The sequence below is a fragment of the Homo sapiens genome, chromosome 2 (assembly GCF_000001405.40).
Source record: "Homo sapiens chromosome 2, GRCh38.p14 Primary Assembly".
In the NCBI taxonomy this organism is placed as follows: Eukaryota; Metazoa; Chordata; class Mammalia; order Primates; family Hominidae; genus Homo; species Homo sapiens.
In genome coordinates, this window is record NC_000002.12 from 189788417 (window position 1) to 189812779 (window position 24363).

The following is a 24363-nucleotide window of genomic DNA, read 5'->3' on the forward strand; positions in this document are numbered from 1 at the left end:
TCATATGATATCATTATTAGATCCATTTTATAGATTAGGTGATTGCATTTTAGAGAGTTTAATTTCCTCAGTGTTACATATCTGTTAGTGTAAGAGCTAGGATAAAACCAAAGTAGTGTGATTTCAGAGCCTGCCATTTTAACCACTGCTCTATCCAGCACTGTTCAATGGAACTATAAGCCACATCTATCATTTTAAATTTTCTAGTAGTCACATTAAACAGATTTTTTAAAAGGTTAGTTTTAATAATATATTTTATGTAATCTAGTGTATCCAAATAGGATAAAATCATTTCATCCTATAATCAATGTAAAAAATTGATATGATTTTTATTAATGCTGAGTTGGAAATTGAGTGTGTATTAGCACATCTCAATTTGGACTACCCACGTTTCTAGTGCTCTAGTGTTCAGTAAGCTACATATGACTGATGGCTACCATATTGGACAGTGCAGATCTGTCCCTTAGATCGAGGTAATTCTGAAGCTTTGGAAAAGTGCAGAGGTGCCTTTTGCTTGTGACAGCACTAATTTGTGTGAATGTTATGATGATGGAGTAGCCTATAGTCCACTGTTTCCCTGCTTGATTGGGACAGGAAAGCCTCCCAGCTGTTGAGAACAACAAAAACAACTATTGAAAGGTAGTTGTTCACAGCTGCTCTCCTGAGAACTGGGTACCCCAAAACTAAATCAAATATATAGATTAATTAGAGGGTAGTTAGTATTTAAAAAGAATTCTCAGCATTCCTTTACATAATGATCTCTTATTATAATACTCTACATTTTATAAGGCCTTATCATTTGTAGAACAACACTTTATATATTCTTCCTTATTTGATTCTTCACAGTAAACCAGTGAGGTATTAGCTCCATCTTTACAGATGATGAATTGATTTATGGAGGGATTTGAGTGATTTGCTCCATTTTTATAGATGACAAATTGATTTATGGAGGGATTTCAGTGATTTGCTGAGTTTATGTGTAATAAAGGTGAACCCCCAATACCTATTTTATAGGCTCTGGTCTGTTACATTTTTTTCATTGTGCCAATCACCTTTGCCTTCTATATAGCAAAATATACTGTATTTATGAACTGTGATCAGTTAACACTCTCAGAACCCAATATGTCGGCCTCTTCCCAGAAGTGCATTCCTTAAACTCCTGTGTAATTGTTATAGTGCCTGTACTCCATTTCCTACTCAATTACTGAGTCTTTCTTTACATGTCTTTGTCTTATGCTGCCTGAGAAATAATCCTAAACTGATGACTTTTTGTTGTGTTTGTTTTCGGTGTTGCTATTTTATTTGCACCTAGATTGCATAGGATTAAATCATCATAGGAGCATGTAACTAGTCATGGGAAACAAAGTACCTTGAGTCCACCCCCAGCCCCCATTTTTTTTGGTCCAATAAAATCTTGATTCTGCAGAGGAATTGCATGTTGTCAAGCTTGTGCTTATTTTCCTGTAATCTTTTCTGAAATTAGGCAATAAGATGCAAAAAGCACCCCCCTCCCTGCATGCTTTACAGATGGAATTTCCATAGGACGTTTTTGGATTTTTCGTTTGTTTGAACAAAGGATTTCCAGTTACCAACAGAGATTTTGGATCTGCAGGTTGGATCTATAAAGGACCTCAAATGCCAACTTAGAGATTTGAGCTTTATATTATTGGCTTTGAGGAGCCACATGATTAAAATAATGTCGTAGGCAGAATAATATAGAGGATAGTTATCTGACATGTCTGGTATGAGACCAGTTCAGATTAACAGTAATCCTAACTCTAAAGGAGCTCAGTGATTGAAAAAGACATTATAATTCATCAGAATGTATGGATGACTAATGATGTTTAAATGAGACTGTTGGTAAGGCACATAACTGATTGTCATTATCCACTTCCCAAAGTTATATTATCACTTGGTCATTCTCAGCCAACATTACACTCATTATAGCACAATTGTTCTTATCATTATTCAGTTATTACCATAGCATTTGTTTTTAAGAAATCTTTTTAGAACATGCATGTCTTGATTCCAGTATCTGTGAGCTTTCGGTGATCTACTGTAATGAGTTTGGACCAAGATGTAGTTGGCACAGACATTTAAGGAAATATATTTGAAATAAAAATCTCAAAAGTACCTGGGCCCAGTTACTTACTCAGCTTTCAGCCTCTTAAATGTCCATAATAATAAGTATAATGTTTTATTCATAGTACCTACTTTCTATGGTTTAGCGGTTTAAATGCAATCCTATATGTAAAGTGTTTAGCATACTATATATTTAATGTAGTAGTTGCTGTTCTTATTGTAATCATCATTTTAATAAACGGCAGTATAGACTGGGTGACCAAAGGTGAAGAGTCATTGAGGCTAATTAGGAAATTATATTGGGAACTAAATGTGAGAAATACTGAGAAAAGAATTGATAGGATTTAGGAGTTGATTAGATTTGAGTCAGGGTGAATGGATAATTCCTGTAGGAAAGTTGTGGGTTTAGGGTAGGGATTGGTAATTATACCCGGAGTTTGAGCTAGTGATTATTTCAGCAGGCAGTTGGAAATACAGAGTTCGAGTTTGCAAGAAAAGTCAGAATATAATTAGTCACACAAAATCCTGGAAGAAATTAGAAAAAAAGCAATTTCTTCCTCTAATGTTATTGTGGACTTTTTTTTTTTAGGTGCTTGTGGCAGAATATTGTGGATTTTTTGAACCCATTTTTGGTTATTTTTATTCATAGGCATTTATATGTATTCATATATTAGGTATCAATAGAGGAATTGTTGAAGGACTTGCCTTAGCTCTGCCTCTTAATAACTGGATGACCTTGGACAAGTTTTCTAATTTCTTTATGCCTTAGTAGTTTTATAAAATTGAGGTGATAATGGCACCTATTTTCATAGGGTAATAATAAGAAATAGAAGACTTATGGCTGGGCGTGGTGGCTCACGCCTGTAATCTCAGTACTTTGGGAGGCCAAGGCAGGCGGATCAGTTGGGGTCAGGAGTTTGAGACCAGCCTGACCAACTTGGCAAAACCCCATTTCTACTAAAAATGTAAAAATTAGCCAGGTGTCCTGGTGGGCACCTGTAATCCCAGCTACTCTGGAGGCTGGGGCAGGGGTGGCTGAACCTGGGAGGCAGAGGTTGCAGTGAGTCGAGATCACGCCACTGCACTCCAGCCTGGGTGACAGCGAGATTTCATCTCCAAAAAAAAAAAAAGAAGAAATAGAAGACTTAATATTGTATGTGCTAACAGTTGAGCGTAGCATACAGTAAGTCTCAGTGAAGATGATCTATTTTCATCTGTCATTATTATTGCCATTTGTCCTGTTGGTCAGGAATGCTTAACAATTCTTACAAGTTGCATTTTTATCTTCTAGCTGCTCTGTTAAAAGCGAAAATGAAACAATTGCCTGCGGCAACAGTTCGACTCCTTTCAAGTTCTCAGATCATCACTTCGGTGGTCAGTGTTGTAAAAGAGCTTATTGAAAACTCCTTGGATGCTGGTGCCACAAGCGTAGATGTTAAACTGGTGAGTGTCCTTGAGAACCCAAATACCTTTAAGACAAAGAAAAGGGTCTGGACACATGTTTTCTCCTTAAACTGTTACCTTTATTTTATTTCTTTACACCAATAAATTATTCTTAGGACATTGGACCCTTTGTCTTAAGAGTAAATCCTTAAAAATAAATTTTAATTTAAATTAACATTATAGTAACACTAAAGGAAATATAAAAGAAAACATGTTCTTTAGGTCTCCATCACCTAAGACATCTAATGTTTGTATTTTCTACAAATATTGGTTATTCATATTTCCTTGTTTTAGGGATTTACTTTTGCATTTTATTTTTTCCATCTAATCTAATTTCAAACCATTTCCCTTGTTACTTTTTTCACATTTTAAAATTTAAGTGCTGTATATTAAATCATTTGAGTAAATATGGCCTATATCACTCATTATGATTTATTGCAATTAGTTTCCATGACTAGTTCCCCTGTTCTAAATTGCTAACACATAGAGATATGGTCTATTTTATTCATTTTTGTGTCCTCTGTACCTGGCTAGTACCTAGTATGCACTAGGAAGGTAAATAAATCTGATTGAATGTAAGAATACATTTTTTAAAATCTCTTAATTATCAGATATTTATGCTATTTCTAGTGTTATAGAACTAGAAACAATGCTGATAGAAATATATTTGTAGGAAAGGGACCTAACTTTTTCTTATCTACCAGATAAGATTCTATGAGATAAACATGTATATATATATGGACACAAATATATATATATATATATATATATATATATATGTAAAATAAAATCCCTTCTATAAATCACTTCTCATAAAACACTGTGACTTAACTACTACTATACCCATTTTATTTTTTATTTATTTATTTATTTATTTTTTATTTTTTTGAGGCAGAGTCTCGCTTTTTCGCCCAGGCTGGAGTGCAATGGCGCGATCTCAGCTTACTGCACTCTCCCTCCCCGGTTCATGCAATTCTCCTGCCCCAGCCTCCTGAATAGCTGGGATTACAGGCACCTGTTACCACGCCTGGCAAATTTTTGTATTTTTAGTAGAGATGGGGTTTCGCCATGTCGGCCAGTCTGGTCTTGAACTCCTGACCTCAGGTGATCCGCCCACCTCGGCCTCCCAAAGTGTTGGGATTACAGGCGTGAGCCACTCATGCCCAGCCATACTATACCCATTTTACAGATAATGTTCTGAGAAGTTTCCCAAAGTCTCATAATTAGTAAGTAGTGGAGCTAAGACTAGAATCCAGGTCTTTCTGACTCTTAAAACCCATTCTTGATCTTCTCTCTGTGCCAGTGGTTCTCATGATGTTTGGGTGCATCAGAATAACTTAGGATGTTTGTTAAAACTGTTACTGGGTCTTACTCATACAACTTCATAGTCTAGATGGGGCCTGAGAATTTGCATTTCTAGTAAATTTCTAATTGATGCTGATGCTGGTGGGTTATGGAACACACTTTGAGAACCATTCTTCTATATCAAACCTCTGTTCTGTTTTGAATACACTATAAGCTTTATAAACGAGAAAACAAGTATATTAAATTATACCCAAAGAAAGACAATTTGTTTTTCTTAGGCATTTCATATAGTCAGTTCAGTCTGATTAGAGTATAATTGATAATAATTAAACAGGATTAGATAGTTATATCTGACAGACTTCACTTAAGAATCTTTGGCAGGCAGACATCTTTTTCTTAAACATTTCTGGAAGAAAAACTGGTTTTTAAAACAGTGTTACAAAGCCAACAGAAGTCCTGTATAAACTAAGTTAAATATTTTAATCTGGCTGTAAATTTTAGTCTCTTGACATTTACCAGTATTTGCTTTGTAGAATTTTAAGATATACACCTTAAATGTGTGGCTCTACATGATAAGACCTGTTTCATTATGGTTTTATGCTATAATAGCTATCCTGACTAGATATGTTTTCATAATTAATTAAACGTGATGGTACTATTTTGAACATTTAAACAAATCTTTGTGTTCTTATTACGGGATTTCGAGACCATGTTGCCCAGGCTGGTCTCGAACTGCTGACCTCAAGTGATCCACCCATCTCAGCCTCGTAAATTGCTGGGAGTACAGGCGTGAGCCACCATACTTGGCCTGATTTTTCTTTAAAATATAGAAGACCGACAGTTCCCAGAATGTAAACTTAACTTTATTCATTTATTTATTTATTTTGAGACAGTCTCATTCTGTTGCCCATTCTGAAGTGCAGTGGTGCGATCTCAGCTCACTGTAACCTCCGTCTCCCGGTCTCAAGCGATTCTCCTGCCTCAGCCTCCCAAGTAGCTGGGATTACAGGTGTGTGCCACCATGCCCGGCTAATTTTTTGTATTTTTAGTAGTGACCGAGGTTTCACCATGTTGACCAGGCTGGTCTCAAACTCCTGACCTCTAATGATCTGCCTGCCTTGGCCTCCCAAAGTGCTGCAATTACTTGCATGAGCCACTGTGCCCAGCCAAACTGAATTTTAGATTGAGAGAGGTGTGAGGAACAAAATCTTAGGCATCTCTCTCCAATGTTTTGTATATCTAATTTATCTAAAAATTGCCGACATATACAGTATTATATCATTTTAGGTTATTAAAAAGATGTGATTTTATTTTAAATACCAGAGTCAGTATAATTATAGAAAGATTTTATTTCCCCCTTTGTAACTTGCATCTGTGGTCATACACATAAGACTTTGTGGAGTAAAGTCAGACTTATTTATTATGGAAGTTGGCTGCCAAATTTAGAATATGGTGTTCATAGAAAGTATGATCACTATGGGAATTTAAATTTTGTTTTTGTTATATATGTATATTTTTAGTATAAGAATATAAAACTAAGCTATGAATTGAGATTTTGAAAAGATTTTCATCTGATATGATGGCTCACACCTGTAATTCCAGCACTTTGGGAAGCTGAGGCAGGAGGATCGCTTGGAGCCAGGAGTTTGATACCAGCCTGGACAACAAAGTGAGACCCCACCTGTACAAAAAATAAAAATAAAAATAGTTAGGCACTGTGGCATGCAGCTATAGTCCCAGCACCTCAAGAGGCTGAGGTGGGAGGATCACAAGCCCAGGCATTCAAGGCTACAGTGAGCTGTGATCATGCCACTGTACTGTATGTAGCCTGAGTGACAAAGTATCTAAAAAAAGTCTTGATTTTTTTTCAAATTAAAAACTTACTGTGGTTGCTAAATTAGATGTGTTTTCTCAGCAGTTTCCTGTTAGATGGCTGTTTGCAGAAAAAGATTTAGAAAGTTATAATGTAGTAAACATAGATTTTTATGTAAGGGAGAAAGTATTAAATATTAGGTTGATTCCTGCCATAGAAAAGCAAAATAAGAAAACAAAAAACAAAATAAATAAATAAAAATCAGGTTGAATAATGATACTTGCTAGGTTCTGCCTGACTAGAACATGTGTTACTTTGTCGCTGATGGAGTTCTGTTCTGTTCTGTTTTGTTTTGGGGCCATGCATACCAAAGGTGTATGTAATTCAGAAGAATTTTTTTAGTCAAATTTAAACATAAATTATTGTTTATTGTAAATACCCATGATAATGAAACAGTGAAAAGCAACCTTAAAGATCAGCCTAACCTCCTTATTCAACAGTTGAATCTGTGTCCAGAGAAAACAAGGGAGTTGCCTGTTGCACCATAACTAGAAATTAGTAGAGCTGAAGAATTTAAACTCTTATATCCATAATGCTATGCTTCCATAAAAGTAAATAAATGTCAAAATTCTTTCACTTGTGTTTCTTTCTAAGTGTGATAACAGTTTAATATTTTTACATATTAAAAGTGTTTTTTGACATTTTATAGGAGAACTATGGATTTGATAAAATTGAGGTGCGAGATAACGGGGAGGGTATCAAGGCTGTTGATGCACCTGTAATGGCAATGAAGTACTACACCTCAAAAATAAATAGTCATGAAGATCTTGAAAATTTGACAACTTACGGTTTTCGTGGAGAAGCCTTGGGGTCAATTTGTTGTATAGCTGAGGTAAGGTAATTATATTGGTTATTTTAGTGATTTCATATTCACTGAACATTACAGTTAAAACTAACCCAGTATTTGGTGAAGTATGGTTTTAATTATTTTTATTATGGTAAAATATACATAACATAAGCCGGGCGAGGTGGCTCACGCCTGTAATCCCAGCACTTTGGGAGGCTGAGGCAGGTGGATCACCTGAGGTCAGGAGTTCGAGACTAGCCTGGCCAACATGGTGAAACCCCGTCTCTACTAAAAATACAAAATTAGCTGGGTATGGTGCCTCACGTCTGTAGTCCCAGCTACTTGAGAGGCTGAGGCAGGAGAATTGCTTGAACCCGGGAAACAGAGGCTGCAGTGACCCGAGATCATGCCACTGCACTCCCACCTAGGCAAGATAGAGTGAGATTCTGTCTCAAAAAAATATATATATACATAACATAAAATGTATCATTTTAATTATTTTTAAATGTACAATTCAGTGGCAGTGGCATTAGCTACAGTCACATTGTCGTGTATCTATAACCATTATTCATCTCCGCAACCTTTTCATTATTTCAAACTCTGTACCCATTAAACAATAATGCCTTTTCCCCCCATCCCCTAGTACTCACTGTTCTACTTTCTGTCTCTATGAATTAGACTATTCTAGGTATCACATATAAGTGGACTCATAAAATATTTGTTCTTTTGTATCTGGCCTATTTCTCTTATAATGTCTTCAGGGTTCATCCATGTTGTAACATGCATCAGAATTTCCTTCCTTTTTAAGGCTGAATAATATTCCATCATGTGTATATACCACATTTTGTTTATCTGTTCATTTTCATCGGTGGACACCTGGGTTACTTTCACCCACCTTTGGGCTATTGTGAATAATGTTTCTGTGAACATTGGTGTACAAATACCTGTTTGAGTCCCTGCTTTTACTTCTTTGGGGTATATATCCAGAAGTAGACTTGCTATGTCATATCATAATTCTGTGTCTAATTTTTTGAGGAGCAGCAAAGTGTGTTTTGCATTTAAAAATTGTATTAAGAAAATTAAGCAGATATTTAACTATAGCACTTCTCAGAGCCTTTACTATATTCAAGCACATTGTAAATCTCTAAGGTTGGTGGTTTATATACGCACTTTTTCCTATACCTACTTGACCATGAAATTCTTTTATTGAGAAAGCATATCATTTTTGTTTGTTTGTTTGCTTGTTCTGTGGACTACACTTTAGAAATACCACTCTAACCGGTACAGTTAGTGAGATTACGCTCTAGAGATGTGAATTGACTTGGTCTAAACCTTAACTAGTTAAGGGCAGATTGGATTTAAGAACTTTACTCTTCTGACTGTGAGTTAGGTGCTCAGTGTCTATGAACTCCTGAGTTCAGTGCTTGGCACATTCACTTGCATAGTACCAATTATACTACGCTGCCTCTGCCCCAGATCTTATAACTAGTTTGTAGCAAAGCCCGTCTAGAACCTTGATCTCTTCATTTCTGTTATCTCAGTTGTGTTTGATCACGTGACTCTGTACTACTTTTTTTGTACTATACTATTACCCTGTGGATGTTGGGCTCTTATTGTGTGACAGTATCTATGTGCCAGGTGACAGGGTGATTGTGAGGGTCTCTTGAGTTATTGAAATTTGCCCAGTAGCCATGTAATCCTTCATTTGTGCTTAGGCTGGCAGACCCTATTTAGGCAAGAATGTTCCAGTACAGTAAAATGATAGGACTTCATACTTGTTGTTCTGGAAAAGTGGCACAGAAATGAGATACTGTTGCTGTCTCCCCTTCTGGTCTTTGGACATCTGTTTAGTAGTCCAGTCTTGCCAAGAATAATGATATATTCTCTAGGTTCATTGTGGTCTTCCCTCAGCCCTTCTGTTTTTGAAGTGCTGGCATAGGATAGTGTAGGTTTTCTCCATTTTTTGTGGCTAGGATTCCAGCTCAGTACAGATACTCCTTGACTTATGAGGGGATTACATTCCTGATTAAACCTTTGTAAGTTGAAAATATTGTAAATCGAAAATGCATTTAATATGCTTAACTTGCTGAGCATTACAGCTTAGCCTAACCTACTTTAAACATGCTCAGAACACTTACATTGGTCTACAGTTGGGCAAAATTATCTGGCAACATAGTACACTGGAGAGGATCTGTTGTTTATCCTCATCGTCACATGGCTGACTGGGAGCTGTGGGTCACTGCCTCAGCATTGCTAGCTTATCCACTGCTTTCTACTGAATGCATATCACTTCCGCGCCACTGTAAAGTCGAAAAATCCTAAGTAGCACCGTTGTTAAATTGGTGACCCTCTGGGTTCAGTTTTTTACTTTTGGGCTTTTCTGGCTGTGTAACATGTCTTAAGTAGGCCAGAGAAATTGCAAAGGAGATGAAGTTTAAGTGGGAGATTTTGCTGTTGGAGCATAGAGGACTAGGGGGCCTTGCTTATTAGAATCCAGATGTTTAGAGATCATTAAAGGGAAATTGTCATGTGTACTCTTAAAACCGCTGTCCAAAATCTAGCACACTGTGTACTTCTCTATTTTCCTCAGCACTCGCTTTATTTGGAGTTCACAGAGCCTTCAAATAGATTTTGGGGAAGAGGGACTAGAGGGTTCAATTGGGCATTGTCCGTTTTTCTCCTCAAGACTATAAATGGGAATCCACAACCCTGGATCTTGTACAAAGAGTTTGTCTTTAAAATTGCACGAGGTTTGCATCAGGGAACCTCTGAATCTGCCAGTACTATTTAGCTGTCAGTGACTACTCTAGAAGTCATTTTTTTTTTTCTGTTTTAGAGCATAAGTATTTGATTTTTTTTTTTTTTTTTTTTTAGCTGTTGTTCAAACTTGACAGATAGGCTTTAAGCTTTATTTGGTAGATTATCAAAAAGATAATTTGGCATTTCTGTATTTTCTGCAAGATATATATGTAACCCTTCAGAGCTGAAATTAGTCATAATTAGCTTTGCCTACTAGGTGGCAGCACTATACTTGGTTTTTAGAAATAGGTTTCACATGAGCTGTATGATTTATTCAAATCTTCACTGTAGTTCTGAGTTTAGATGGCAGTTTTGTAAGTCTTTCTCCATTGGTCACTTTCTATCTTGTTTCCTTATTTGATTACTTAAACCCACTTGATAGGCAAGTTTATCATTTTGTCTTTGTTTTATTTTGAGGCACTCAAGTGGCCTTGAGTATAAATAAAATAATTTTGCTCATCAGAATTACAAAAGAATTGTCAAAGTATCACAATAGTGGAAAACTATAAAGTTTTTAAAAAAATGTTTGCAATGCCAAGCATTTATCTTAGAAAATATTAACAGTATTTTATGGAGTTTCCTTTCTTACAAGTCTTTGGGAAAACCACATATAGATGTGTGTGTGTATGCATGCACACACACACCTACACTAACAACACAATGAATTTTTACATATGTATACTCCTGATCAAGATTTAGACCATTATCAGAACCCCAGAAGGTTCCCTCATACCCACTCCCAGTCAGTACTTCTCAAAGGTAACTGCTATTCAGACCTCTGTCAACACAGATTAGTTCTTTATGTTCTTGAACTTGATATAAATGAAATCATATGGTATGTATTATTTTGGCACAGAGTTTTTGATGATGATTTAGGTTTGATTGTACCTGAAAACTAAAGGAAATACAGAGCTAGCTGGAAGGAACTTTTATAGTAGTAGGGGACCCTAGTACACCATCTAGATCCCCCACTTCAGGACTGAGCAGTCAGCCCCCAGCTGCCAAGAGTGTTGGTGACTCACCCCTGAGTCTCCATCTGGAGCTTGCCCTTACCGCAGCTGAAGACAGCTGCCTTACCCAAGTCATGCAGGGCAACCTGCATCCAATGAATCCAGTGACTGGTTGAGGTGTTATAAACGTCCCAGTTCAGGACAACATTGCCCTATGCCCACTGGTGATCATCCCAAAGAACCCCCCAATAAACTGACTGCTCACTAATCTCCATCTCAGAATGAGCTTCATGGATTAGCCAGCCTACAATGTAGGTCTTCTGTGCTTCAGTTTCTTCATAGTACTGATGAGGAAACTGAGGTCTTTTGAAGCCAAATGCCAAGTCTTCTTACCCAACTTCAAAACACTGTCTCTAATAACTCAAGTAATGTTCATTGTCTACGCATGCAGGGTGCTGCACTAGGTAGTTGATTTCAGAGGAATTGTACACAGTGAAATATGAAATTTGTAACCTATTCAGGTATACATAGTGTGTTCAAGGCAAAGCCCAGAATTCAGTCCTAATTTCATGCCTTTCAGTAATGTATTTTCCGTGGTAGGTTATATTACCTCTTTACTAGCATGATTAGAAATGTATTTATAAAGTTTAAAAATACTTCCATATTAAATATTAAATTATTTACAAATATACCCAGGCCTGCAGTGCTAAGTTCAATAGATAAGTTGTTAGGAGTAGGTGAGTTGAAACTTATATGTGAGGACTGTGAATAGTATTTGAGAAAAACAGGAAGTAATGTATGTTTGTTGAAGTCAGTTACATTTAAAAATAAATATTTTTAAATAAGACTTAATGGGTGCATTTTGGGGGAAAGGAGTTCACTTTTTAATCTTAAGGAATATTCCTTAGCACTCAGAAAGAATTGAGGTTTCATATATAGAAAAAATATATTTTCAAGACTAGCTTATTTTGAAACTTTTTAGATGAAAATTACAGTGAATGCAATAAAAATTAGTAATTTGGTTATTTTATCTACCAAACTAACTGATGCATATAATTTTAAAGTCATAGAGTTGTAAACCATCCTAGGCTCAGTGGATCGATATGTAATTGGGCACACTATTAAACAGCCATCACCTATAACTCTAGTTGTTGACATTATTTTCTGTTTATTTAAAAAATGTTATTAAGAAGAAAAATTAAGTTAGACTTTCAGCAAAATTGGCTGGAGAAATCTAAAATACATCTAATTCTTTGTTCTTTATTTATATACTTGAATGGTCAGTTTTCCTAATTTGTCAATTATAAAATAACTTCCAACCTTAAACAGTCCAAAGAAGTAAAGCATTATTTTTGTTTTGTTTTGTTTTATAATTTTTATAATTTTTTGTAGAGATAGGGTCTCACTCTCTTGTTCAGGCTGGGCTCAAAATCCTGGCCTCAAGCAATCTTCCTGCTTCAGCCACCCGAATTGCTGGCAGGCAGGAGCCACTGTGCCCTGCAGGCATTCTTTTTATATCTGCAGAGTAAACTATTGGTATTTTAAAATGGAATTATTGCTTTCATGATCTGTGATGAGTATATCAGCAACTGACACAAATTTACTCGTAATGGTTTTCTTTAAAATCATAACAGCAAGCATAACTTCTTGAAATTTATTGTTTGTAGAGCAATAATTTTGAGAAATTTGTCATCTTCAATGTTTAATTACTAGTACTAATTACTAAGCACAGTGACTGGGTTGAAATAGAGAGAGTGAAAATCCTGTCTTGACCGTCTCATAAAAATTTTTATAAAGATTGTGTATATTATTCCTATCACATAATAAAAAACACAAAATATTTTTCTTTTTAGGTTGATATTTTATATGTGTTATCAAAGAAATGTTTAAGAAACTAACAACATTTTTGAACTGGATTTTACATGGAGGCTGGTTTTAGAAATACAGAACAGTTTATTTTATTTTATTTTTTTTCTTAAAGAACAAATTCTGAAGTAGGAGTCAGAAGCCTAATTCTAAATCCTGAGTGTTTGAATAAGAGACCTGGCCAAAGGCCAAAGTCAGATTAAGTTTTCTGAGAATTTTTTTTTTTTCATTTATCAAGTGAGGGTCAAATACAATAATACATCTTACAGTGTCTTGAATATTGTGTACATACAGATGCAAGTTATTTCTACTTTGGACTTGTATGTGAAAAGTAGTATGCATCTGGATAAGATCATTAGACTTGCTTATTCCCCTCTGCAAATAGTATTTCACCTCCGCATTCTATGTATGCTATTCCACATTTTGGGGAAATCCTTTCTAAAATGTAATAGCCATTCATAGGTAAATTCCTTCTAATTCTCACCAAATGTCTTCATCCCGTAGTGTTAGTTCATTTTTTTCTCTCGTTTTTCCCTCAGAAGAATAAATGTCATCCTCTGCATAACATTTACATTTATTGATTCATTCATCCACCATTTAAATGGTTACAGTGTACTGAATATTATTCTCACCTTATCAAGCTCATTATGCAGTTGACCCTTGAACATCACCCAGTTGACCCCACCACTTCGCTATGCAGTCAAAAATTCACATGTAACTTTTGACTCCTTTAAAACTTAACTACTGTTGACCGGCCTCCTGTTGACCGGAAGATAACATATTTTGTATGTTGCATGTATTATATACTGTATTCTTATAATAAACTAGTGAAAAGAATGTTATTAAGAAAATTATAAGAGAAAATAAATATGTTTGCTATTCATTAAGTGGAAGCTGTTCATTAAGTGTTCATGTTGAGTAGGCTAAGGAAAGGGTAGAAGAGAAGAGATTGGTCTTGCTGTCTCTGGTGGCAGAAAATCTGTGTGTTAAGTGGACCTGCACAGTTCAGACTTGTGTTGTGGAAGGGTCAACTGTACATAATTTTGTGATGAGATAATATAGGATCTGTAGGTTTGTTTTTGTATCACCTCACATTAAGCCTCCAGGGCTTAGAGGAGCAGAATGAGAAGCTGAGTCATTTTGTTTTGAAGATGGAAGTTGGGACTCACTTATTTGTGGGCCCACATACTATAAAAGGGTCAGGGGAAGCCCCTAATGTCATTATGATGGTTCTAAACCAAGGACTTCTGACTCCTTTTCCACAGTGTAGGGTTGTCTCGTATATTTTTTATAGCTGTGATGGAGGAGCTTTAGTCAAAATACGTCTGGGAAGTTTTGAAGCAGTTGGAATATTTTACTTCCTAAATGCAGCTTCATCACAGGTGATGGAACTCTATTGAAAGGAGAAAAGCCAGGGCCAAGATCTCCCTGTTGCTAGGCTCCCCATAGTGGGTATCTGGGAACAAGTCCTGCAGTCAGAGTACTTTAATTAGTGCACAATACTTGCACAGGCAGGCAGGCATACTCACATGCAGAAAAGAAAACATTTCAGCCATTCAGGCAAAAGTCTGTATTTCACCTGAATCGTAAAGACTGTGCGTTTTCAACTCGTTTTTGTGTCAGTTTTCATCTAAAACTTAGCCCCCCCAAAAACTCAAAAGGCTTTATCATAATTACCTTAAATGAATTTTTGTCAAGAGGATTTTTACCTGAATTATCAGGATATATTCTAAGTTTTTTCTTTACTTTTTATCTAAACATTGAAGAAAAACTATGTTTATCTGAAGTTTAAATGCTTTTATGTAATTTTAATTTTGTAATGATACTGCGATTTCTTGAAACTCAGTAAACTGGACCAGAGAGTCAGTTTTTAATAACTGATAACTAATATAGCCTCCAAGGTCCTCTAAGGACTTGTAAAACTTTTCCTTTTAAAATACTGGTTTTCTTTATTTCTTCTCTTGACACCACTAGGTTCACTCTCTGCCACCATTCCTCAATGTCTCTAGTAAGAATCACCAGTAATAGTGTGTACTGTTAGAGATGCTCCTGATGGTGGAGTTACTGCAGGCTCAAATGCTAGCTCCTGCACAGCTAATGAATTCTGAACCTGTGCCCGGTCCAAAAAAAAGTTTCCTGCTCCAGACACAGGGTCATATGATGAAACAAACTCTCGAAATACAATTCCCTTTCCTTCCTCTGTGGAACACACTGTATTTCATAAATTTATGAAGTACACTTATGTGTTTGCTTTATGCTTTACTGTCTTTAGCCATGAATTGCAAAGCATTTCATATCTAAATACGTTTTCGTAGTATTCTACAAATTGTAATTTTACAAAATTTTAATGTTGGAAAATAGAGGGTTTTTTTTTACTTTAACATAAATGTTACATTATGAGCACTAAGGTCTTATTTTGCTTTTTAGCACTTCAGTTTCTTCGTCTAGACTGGAGTATATATGTTTAAAGGATGAGCAAATTAATATCTTGTAAGATAAAGTGGTTAAAACAAAATCCCATGTAACCTTATAAAGTATTAGCATCATCTTCATCTTATCATCACCCTTCCCTTAAAGATGATCTGTGTAATCATTTATTCAGGACCATCTAGAAGCCACTGGCAGGGTTAGTCCTGGAACTCAGAGTTCCAGGGCCGCCTTTGCTCAGTGACACCAACTTTAGGTCAGGTGGCTAGTTCTTTGGAGTAGAGAAATAGAATTCAGTTGACCTTAGCATTTTGGAAAATCAGTTGGTTAAATGTAGAATTGTCTTCAAAGGGATAATTATGGAATAATGAGCCACAGAAAAGAAAATCTCTAGCACTTTCTGTCCTCTAAATTACACCATTTTTGAACCATGGAATGTATTTTGGAAGAGGTAGATCCCTTAAGAGTACTCAGAAACTCCCAACTTTGTTTTAGGTTCTGCTTTTTTGGGGGATAGTATCACAGTAATAGCTTGACATAGCGCCCCTAGTAAGAGTTTCATAGACTTCATTTTCAGAGAGAATCTAACGTCCTCTGCTGGTACTGTGAGCTGGAGAAGCCGTTTCTTTTTGTTGCTCTGATATTCCCTGCATGCTACCAACATGTTCCACAGAGCTGTAGGCCCTACAGTAAATCTGCTTGGTTAGGGCAGGGTGACAGAACCTTCAAATATAGACCCACTTGGATTCAGATGAGTTCCAACAGTGGGGTTGGATTCTTATGGTGTCTAAATTATATAGATTTACTTTAGAATATTCAGCTCTTCGTATAAAGATGGCCAAGAAAGATTACTCCCAATTTTGGGTCATCATTGGCTCACCAGACATGTGAGGAGGCTACCTTCTTCCCAATGCTTTCCTTGCCAGCATCCCCACTCCCCACTTTTTTTTTGTTTTTTTTCTGACAATGGCATATTTTACTATTGTACTTTCATACCTACCTCATGGGGTAAGTAAATAGAAAGCTGAGGATGAAGCTAGCTCAAAAGAGGGCAGACACTTCAAAATTTGTGTTTCTATGACTAACATCTGAGGAAATATTTTCATGCTGAATGAAATGTCTTCTTCACTTATGCTTACATGTTTTAAATTTTTTTAATTAATAAAAAATTTAGCCTTAATGAGTTTAAAGCTCAGTTTTAAGAAAAAAATCTGTAAATATATATATAATTTAATTTTTTTTGGACCATAATCTTGAAATACAGAAGTGCAGTTTTACACATAATAAAGAAGGGGGAGGGAATGATCACTTTACCAAAGAACTATTCATTTACCAACAAATTTATGGAAATAGTCTGTTAAAAAGCAAGTTCCCTTAATACAGTTGAAGTACTTGCTTTTACAGACATAAGTCATATAATGCATATAATACAAATGGCATTTCAGGTATACTTGTTTGTGTACGAGTGTTTTAATAAAGTGAAATACTCAAAACAGTAATTTGCAACATAAAAAAAATACAAGCTGGCCTGTTGCTTATTTGTGTAACTCTAAGGAATATTACAAAAGAACTGGTCACAAATGTTTATTAGGTAAAATACGCTATTGAGTAAATATATTATGCAATAATCATTTCAAATCTTTGATAATGAACCCATCGCAATATCTAAAGTGTTAGTTTTATTAGATGTTTTTTTCCCCCAGGTTTTAATTACAACAAGAACGGCTGCTGATAATTTTAGCACCCAGTATGTTTTAGATGGCAGTGGCCACATACTTTCTCAGAAACCTTCACATCTTGGTCAAGGTAAGAAAGTAGCTTTGTATACAAACATTCTTTACCTTTTCTGTCTTAATTGTTGGTTTAAAAAAAAAAAGTTACTCGGTGAATACAAATATATTGCTTTGGGCTTGGTCCTGATAAAGGCTAGTTAACTTCCAAGTAAACATTCAGCCTTTATTCTAGCCACCAATTTCTTAAATATTTAGAATTGTTCTCAAAAGGAACTGTATGAGAGACTGGACACTTCCATGGACTAGTTACTCCTCTGTAAAAACTAAGAGTATTTATTTTACCAGTGCTGGATTACCAGTGTCATCTTCATATATGAAGAAGATTAAAATTTTATTGAAACATATAAAACATAATTGATTTGGTAATAGTGGAAATAAACGATACCATCAAGATATGATTAAATAATTTAAAATCTATTTGTTAATTGATGGAAAACTTCAAACATGCATAAGAAGTTACTGTACTTATCACTCAGTTTCAATAATTTATCAATTCATTGCTAAAGTTCTTTCATGTAATACCCTCGCCCATTTCTTCCCTTTCTATATTACTTTGAAGCAAATACGTATTGTTTCTACTTGTAATGTAGTTAGTGTTTTATATACTTTTATGTAATATTATTACATTTTAATTGATATCTTATGTTTTTTATTTTATTTTATTTTATTTTCCTGAGACAGGGTCTCACTCTGTCACACAGGCTGGACTGCAGTGGCATCATCTTGGTTCACTGCAACCTCTGCCTCCCAGGCTCAAGTGATCCTCCCACCTCAGCCTCCTCAGTAGCTGGGACTACAGGTGCATACCACCACACCCGGCTAATTTTTGTATTTTTAGTAGAGACAGGGTTTTGCTGTGTTGCCCAGCTGGCCTCGAACTCCTGAGCCCAAGCGATACACCTGCCTTGGCCTCCCAGAGTGCTGAGATTACAGATGTGAGCCACTGTGTTCAGCTGATAAGTGTTTAAATTTCTCTAAAAACTATTTACTTATAAAGGTAAAAAAGATCTCTTTAGGCTTCAGTTTCACATATCTCCTTTAATCTTTTTTTAATAATTTCTAGTGATGGGATGATTAAGAGACTATTAAAGCTATTACCTCTTTAGAGTCATGTTCAAAATAATTATTAGATCTGAAAAGGGACTTGTGGGTTTTGTTGTTGTTGTTTATCCTTCTGCTTCTCCAATTTGTGTTGTAAATTCATGTTTAATTTTGTGTTCCCTCATTGCAGTTTATCAAAGTACATTCTGTATATTTTCTGTGGTTTTTTTCCTTCAGTTTTAATATTAAATTATTGGATTCTTTTTTTCAAATGACTTCTGTCTTCATTTCATGTATAAAATATAAATTTCTTATATTTTAATACTGGTACCAAATTCTCTCACTCATTCACTTATTTTGTAAATCCTTAGCTTAATTACTGATTACTTTTGCCCATTAGGAATTGATATTTTTGTTCCACATAAAGGAGAGAGTTAATAGAAACTCCTAAGACAATGCACATTTTTTCCTCATTTATTCAGTTAATGAAAATGAGCTCAAGTCTAACAGCTATTTTATTTGATGTAGAATGATACAAATATTATATATGTTTTAATTAAAAATAATAGATTATAATTCTTTTACTGTATATCAAAGGTTAGGACAGACAGAAGGCATTTTTAAAATATGGCTCCTCTCTAGAAATACTCTGACCCCAGTTCTTACGAGTTCAAATTAGGACACCATTAGGAGATATTTGAGTGGCTATCCAGTAGAGTACTTTGAAGTAATCTAGTCGCCTTATAAAACTTAAAGGAATTTATTTTTGTCTTAGTAGTGACCAGTCTAATCTGGATGGCCAATGGCTTTGCATCACTCATACTTCTCATGCTTTTCTTTATTCATCTCCATGGGAACTATGAAATAACAATCCTTAGATATGGAATCCATCTGATCTTTGCCCTTTTGCTGTTGATTTTCCTTTTCCTGCTGACCTCAGTCTTATACCTTAAGTAAGTGAGACCAGGTATGCATATTAAGGAATTTCTGTAGTCAACAAATGAACTTTACTTTCTTTAGTATATTTCTTTTATCTCAAGAAACAAGAATAAATACTTAGAAGATCAGTAGTTGCAAAACTACTAATTGCTTTTCATAACTCAGTTTTTTCACCTAATTATAGTTGATTGGTTAGGAAAACAGCAGAAAGTTAAAGTCTTAATTTTAAGTTGTTCTTGGTGGACATATTATATATATCTACAAACACTTTCAAAAGCCTTTTATGTTTATATTGCCTTAGTGCTGATAGGTTTTGAGTGATTGAATCACATACTCATATTTCACCAGCTGTCATTTAGCTTCCATTTAAATATTTTCTGCGTAAGATAAAATTACAGTTCAACCATCCTAATTTATACCTGTACATGTAGGGTTCTTGGACTAATTTCTGCTGTGAGGTGAACATCCCTGCTTAGCATTTACTCTTCATGTCATCTGATATAATGATACCTGTGGGTGGCATAATTGTAGGTACGGGAACAACTTACAACATAATTTTATTTAGGCATTGGAAAATTTGTTACCCCTTTAAAAAACGTAATTTATTATTATTATTCTTATTTTGAGACAGAGTCTTACTCTGTCGCCCAGGCTGGAGTGCAGTGGCGTGATCTCAGCTCAGTGCAGCCTCCACCTCCCAGGTTCAAACAGTTCTTGTGCCTTGGCCTCCCAAGTAGCTGGGATTGCAGGTGTGTGTCACCACACCTGGCGAATTTTTGTGTTTTTTTTAGTAGAGACAGGGTTTTGCCGTGTTGGCCAGGCTGGTCTCGAACTCCTGACCTCAAGAAATCTGCCCTCCTCAGCCCCGCAAAGTGCTGGGATTATAGGCGTGAGCCACTGTGCCCAGCCTAAAAGACATATTTTACAATGTTTAAAAATAGTTTACTAGAAATTCCAGCTCTGGTTTTTCTAGGTGTATATTTGTTTTATGGATTAATTCAGCCATTTAAAATGATTTATGTGTTTAACAGTATGTCACCCTAAGTTGCCCTTGCCTTCTGTTCACTTCCATTTTAAAGCATTTTTTTAAACTAAAAAGAAAAATAGAAATACATCTCTATCTTTTAAATTATTGTACCAAGAACATGGAGTAAATTAATAGCTTTAGTCCTATCATTTTCTGTCATCACTTCTATTCCCTTTACCCTAGATAATCAGTATTAAGCTTTCCAAATTGATTTACCCTCCTAGTCAGATTCTTTTAAGATCTTCCAGTACTTCTGCCTTAGAAATTTCTCATATATCAAAAGTAGTATTTAAAGGGCTGTGATCATTTTCCTACCCTGTTACTAGAGTTTCAGAACATCATGTTCTTTGTAAATTCCTACGGTGTGTGATTGTGCGTGTATTAAAAGATCTTTTCATCTTAATTTAAGAATGGACCTTTTATTCCTTAAATATTTTAAGAAAACTTTCTGATATATTCAAGCAACCATACCTTTACATTAGGAATATAAATAGCTGCCATTATAATAAATGGCATACCATAGGGTCATGTAAAAATATAACAGGGAGCATATTACAACACTGCAGTTTAATTCTGGTGTTTGTAGGATGTGCTAAAGTTAGAGAGCTGAATGATTTTCTTGTAAAACATGATAGTATAATGGGGCCTCCTCCCTATTATTGGCCAATATTACTTGGTGCTTTTAAGGAAGCACATTTCTTTTTTTTTTTTTTTTTTTTTTTTTTTGCTTTTTGAGACAGGGTTCATTTGGAATCAGAAAAGACTTTTCCATAAGTATGTTTTATTCAAACATATAATTCTTATTAATCTCAATTGGCTGGGCACAGTGGCTCACGCCTGTAATCCCAGCACTTTAGGAGGCCAAGGCAGGCAGATCTTGAGGTCAGGAGTTCAAGACCTGCCTGGCCAACAAGGTGAAACCCTGTCTCTCCTAAAAATACAAAAAATTAGCCAGGCATGGGGGCGGGCACCTGTAATCCCACTGAGGCAGGAGAATTGCATGAACCCAGGAGGCGGAGGTTGCAGTGAGCCGAGATTGTGCCATTGCACTCCAGCCTGGGCAACAAGAGTGAAACTCCATCTCAAAATAATGATAATTCTCATTTTACTTTCAGAGGATATTTTGAGGTGCTGAAGCAATAATTTATCAATATACAGATTAGGTATAATGTGGTCTTAGATACATATATTTAAAAATCAACAGGTATCTCTTTTTACTTTCATATACACATTTATATTTTGCCCTCTTGATTTCTGTCTTCCTTCTGTCTAGAGCTACAGTGCATGCCATTATATTTGTCATCTAGGAACTTACTGACTAGTGGGGAACACAGGTGAGTGAATAATGACAAAATGAAGCCACTGACTGCCTAGAGAGAGGTTAGCAAGTTTTTCAGAAAAGATGACGTTTGAGTTTGAAGATGGTAGGAGTTTGAAGATGATAGATAAGAAGACATGGAGTGTAACCTTTCGGCAAGAGAAAAATGATGGATACAGATTTTCAAGAGACCATTGCTATCTGCGTAGCAATGAGGGGAAAAAACATAATTTTAAAAACTTGTAGTCTTTAAACTCATTGAAGACCTGTGTCACAGAGAAGTTTAAATGAACAAAGCTCAAGAGAAACACTACATCCTCCTAGAAAAGAAGTGCCTGGTGGCCATTTGCATCCCTGGGAGCATTAACTGAGTCATAGGTAGATAAAGGAACAAGTCTTCTACAAATAAGGGAGCTTTTATGGTACAAGGAGAAACCAGCTGAACTTTTATAGCCACTTGTGGGCAGACATGACAGATTAGAATATGGGATCCTCAAACAGAGCTAGTCCAACCCCCACACTGAATCTCAGCAGGACTTTTGTTGAGTAAAAAGTGATTAAGAAAATTGGGACTGAGCTAGAGAAAGAAGGATCTTAAAACCTTGCTAGAGAAAGAGACCTGATTCCATCTTCAAGACATTTGAAACCAAAGACATTTGAACTGGAACTAAAAGGTTCAACTCAGATAAACTCCTAGTTAGATTGAAGAGATATATTCTTCACTCTACTCTTGGCAGGAAACAAAGCACTTTCTCTGGGAGAAAATATTTTCTTCTTTAGTATCCTTTTATATTCAATGTTTAGCAAAAATAAAAATTTTGAGAGACTTGAGGAGAGGAAAATGGGATCCGTAATCAAGAGAAACAATAGTGTAAATAAACTCATCAATAACCCAGATGTTTGAATTAACAGACAAAAAAAAAAAAACTTATGTTAAAGAATTTAGAAGAAAAGATGGTCAAAACTGGTAAGAAGGTAGCAAATTTCAGCAGAGAAATGGAAACTAAAAAACTAAATGAAAATTCTAGAACAAAAAGTACTATGAAGAATTAATTGGTTGGACTTATTGGAGTCAGGTCAGTAAAAATAATATGCAAACAGAAGCACGGAAGTAGAATGAGAAAAGAGCATCAGAGACCTGTGGGGCAACATTAAATGGTCTAACATGCCTGTGACTGGAATCTCAGGAGAGAGAATGGGGCAGAACAAAATCTGAAAAAAAAAAAAAAAAAGTCTGAGGGCTGGGCACGGTGGCTCACACCTGTAATCCTAGCACTTTGGGAGGCCAAGGTGGGCAGATCACTTGAAGTCAGGAGTTTAAGACCAGCCTGGCCAAAATGGTTAAACCCCATCTCTACCAAAAATACAAAAATTACCCAATTTTTTTGTGTTTTGGCGCATGCCTGTAATCCTGGCTACTTAGGTGGCTGAGGCAGGAGAATCTCTTGAACCCAGGAATTAGAGGTTGCAGGGAGCCAAGATTGTGCCATACACTCTAGCCTGGGCAACAGAGTGAGACTCTTGTCTTCAACAACAAAAAAAACTAATAACATAATTAAGATTGAAAAAAGAAAATGTCTGAGAATGTTTCAAGATTTTTGAAAAGATACAAAGCCACATACCAAAGAGTGAACAGAACCAAGTGGAAAAAAAATAAACAGAACCACAGCTAACTACATCATAATTGAATTACCGAAAACCAGTAATGTGTTGGACAGGAGTGTTGTTAAGGCAGTGTATTATACTTTAATTGGAAGTGTTTTTTCTTTTTTAGAGATTCATAAAAGTGTGGCGCTATTTACAGCTTTCATGAAATATTAAAAGCAGCCAGAGGAGAAAATACATTGAATTCAGAGGAACAATAAAAATAATGACAGCTGACTTCCCATTGGAAACATAGAAGTCCAAAGAAAATGGAATGACATCTTTTAAGTTTTTAAATTTAAAATTACAGGCGGGTGCGGTGGCTCACGCCTGTAATCCCAGCACTTTGGGAGACCGAGGCAGGTGGATCATCTGAGGTCAGGAGTTCAAGACCAGCCTGGCCAACATGGCGAAACCCTGTTTCTACTAAAAATACGAAAATTATCTGGGTGTGGTGGTGCATACCTGTAATCCCAGCTACTCGGGAGGGTGAGGCAGGAGAATTGCTTGAACCCAGGAGGCGGAGGTTGCAGTTAGCCGAGATCACGCCACTGTACTCCAGCCTGGGTGACAGAATTAGACTCTCAAATGAAACAAAACAAAAAGACAAACAAAATTTGATTTAGACTTCTATAACCAGTAAAAATGTTTAAAGAATGAGTACAAAGTGAAGGCAATTTCATACAAATAAAACAGAGAATCTCCCACCATGCACTACAAGAAATACTAACAGGGTTTTTAAGCTGAAGGAAAATGATTCTACATGGCAACCTGAATCTGCAAGAAGGAAAGAAAAGCACTAGAAAATGTGTGGAAAAAATGGAAAGACGAGTATTTTAAAAACTTATTTTACAAAAACAAAATCAGTATATTGTGGAGTTTATCACACAGAAAAGTAAAACGCATGACAAAAACTTTACAAAAGGTAAGAGTAAATGAGGTACACTATTACAAAGTTGTTACATTGTGAAATATAATTTATTTCATGGTAATCAAGGTAAACTGATAATTTAAGAATATATGTTATACTCACTGAAAGTAATACAAAGTTATATAGCTAAAAAGCCAA

General features: G+C 35.7%; 1 protein-coding gene across 23 annotated transcripts in view; it reads left to right on the plus strand.

Moving 5' to 3' along the window:
* PMS1 (PMS1 homolog 1, mismatch repair system component) overlaps nt 1-24363 on the plus strand; it is a 93180-nt gene that overhangs the window by 3967 nt on the left and 64850 nt on the right. For 15 of the 23 annotated variants that reach the window (NR_110332.2, NM_001321047.2, XM_017004348.2 and 12 more), the window contains 3 exons: nt 3374-3525; nt 7353-7535; nt 17236-17338. Coding sequence is in view for 20 of the 23 variants with exons in the window: in NM_001321047.2 (NP_001307976.1) it covers nt 3394-3525; nt 7353-7535; nt 17236-17338 (418 nt within the window). In the remaining 3 variants the exon portion in view is untranslated. Of the gene's footprint in view, nt 1-3373; nt 3526-7352; nt 7536-17235; nt 18639-24363 lie in introns of those variants that run through there. The other 8 variants (NM_001321046.2, XM_017004350.2, XM_017004347.2 and 5 more) reach the window with 5 other exon arrangements.